General features: G+C 40.6%; 1 annotated feature.

The window, feature by feature from the left end:
- Window positions 1,116–1,410: a silencer, noted in NCBI's record as "tiled region #13664; K562 Repressive DNase matched - State 21:Repr". NCBI's record gives its function as "represses a minimal TATA promoter and a strong SV40 promoter by Sharpr-MPRA in K562 cells {active_cell/tissue: K562}" and the evidence as "EXISTENCE:reporter gene assay evidence [ECO:0000049][PMID:27701403]".

Genomic DNA, 1,898 nt, shown 5'->3' with positions numbered 1-1,898 from the left:
TTTGATTTTCAAGGTCTAAGGCCATGAACCCCCATCTGTCCTTAGGCAGCCAGCTTTGTTCTGTATGCAAAGTTATGACTCACACAGAAAGGCTTCCTGTGGGTGAAAAGGAATGTGTCGCCGATTTCAGTGGAACAGTGAGGACAGAGCTTGATATTGGATGTCAGAAGACCTGCATTTGAATTCCAACTCTGCTTTTTACTGGCTGTAAGAAATAAGTTTTTTGAGCTTCAGCTTTATCATCAACAAAGTGAGCAATATAAAGACTAACTCCAAGGGGTCAGGTGAAGGCTTAAGAAGACAATGTATGTGAACTGCTCATTGTAACTCTATAGTGTTTTAAGAAGCTAAGTTTTTGGAATGTATTATATATTGAAAGTAATGTGGGTTTTGACCTGTATACTTAGGTTACTTAATCTTTTTTAAGCCTAAACATTTTCATGTGCTAAAAATCAGACAGAGAAAGAAAGAGAGACAGAGGCAGAGCTATTACAACCTACTTTTGTAGGTTCTTTTGAGGATTAAGAAGGATAATATATGAAGTGTCTGGCAAAAATCCCAGCAATAAATGGCCTTCCATCTTCCTATAAAATTACAACTCTTTATTAAATTATTAAACCATTAGCTACTTGAATTTTTAAATAAGAAATGGAAGAATTGCCCACACCCAAGTTCTATCAAATCATATCCACATTCATCTTCCACTGTTATCCATCACTGTCATTTCTTCCAGCTCAATACAGTTTCTCTTCTTGAGTCCTTCTTGGCCCATCAAGGACCTGTAACTGTGAAACACCAGGCCCTTAAGCTAGTATCACAAAAAAGCTCTGGATATTTATGGCTGACAGATTTGTATTCTCATGACTACCTGACACTCAAGACTACTACATAGCTAAAGCCTCTTTCTGAAAAGTCCATGAAAAAAGAAACACATTTTTGTTCTAGGCACTTAGGTGAAACAGGCAAAGAAAGAAATTCTAAATTCATCACATATGCATAGCTCCCTCACCACGGGGCTTTTCTATGTATAGATCGTATAACCCATCCTACTTAAGGTGTAGATCAGTTAGTATTGTCACACTCTCCAACCAGTTTCAAGCTCTTGGGAAATAATTCTCTAGTTGGCAATTAGATAAGGTGAAAAGTGAAGGAGCTTTCTAAAGTCATTCAATCTTGGCTCCATTCCCTGAGTAGTTCTGTATGGTCTTGGGCAAGCTACTGAACCCTTCTGGGCCTTAAATGTCTCATCTGTAAGATAGCAACCATACCCACCTTTCAGGATATCAAGAGGACTAGAGAAACCTGGATGGAAATAGGCTGCACGGAGGAGGCAATTTCACAAAACACCTCCTCCATTTTAGAACATCTTTGTCCAGACACTAAAGGTGGAGAGAAGGGTGCATCACTTATGCTTCAGTGGTGATGTGTATGTGACACTCCTGTGATGAGATCAGCCCCTTCATCCAAGCTGGCCCCTTGTGACTGCTCTTCCTCAGGGTCTGGAAGTGTCCACGCAGCCTGGAGGTTTTGTATGGAGTCTCTAGACTCAGACTACCTCACTACCTGTCACCTTGCCATATGAAACACTTAGCATATTGCCTTTCATGCAAACCATTTCATGGGACCTCTCTGCTACATTTCTCCAGATTCTACTTTACCCCCATAAAGTAGGTTCTGCTCTTGGGAAAATCGTTACAAGATAACACCTATTCTCTTTCATCCAGCTCATCACTTACTCTCTTCTGAGGGTGGTGGAGTGTTTTATCTGATGAAATCAGAAAAAGGAATTGTGTGCACTTGGCACAGCCTCTTTTGGATCTGCTCTCTCTCTCTCTCTCTGAGAAAGAATGCTATCTTCAGGTTGCACATACTTTCCACCCAGGTGATCTACCTCTGAG

The sequence above is a fragment of the Homo sapiens genome, chromosome 7 (assembly GCF_000001405.40).
Source record: "Homo sapiens chromosome 7, GRCh38.p14 Primary Assembly".
In the NCBI taxonomy this organism is placed as follows: Eukaryota; Metazoa; Chordata; class Mammalia; order Primates; family Hominidae; genus Homo; species Homo sapiens.
This window is presented reverse-complemented; position numbering and strand designations above follow the sequence as displayed.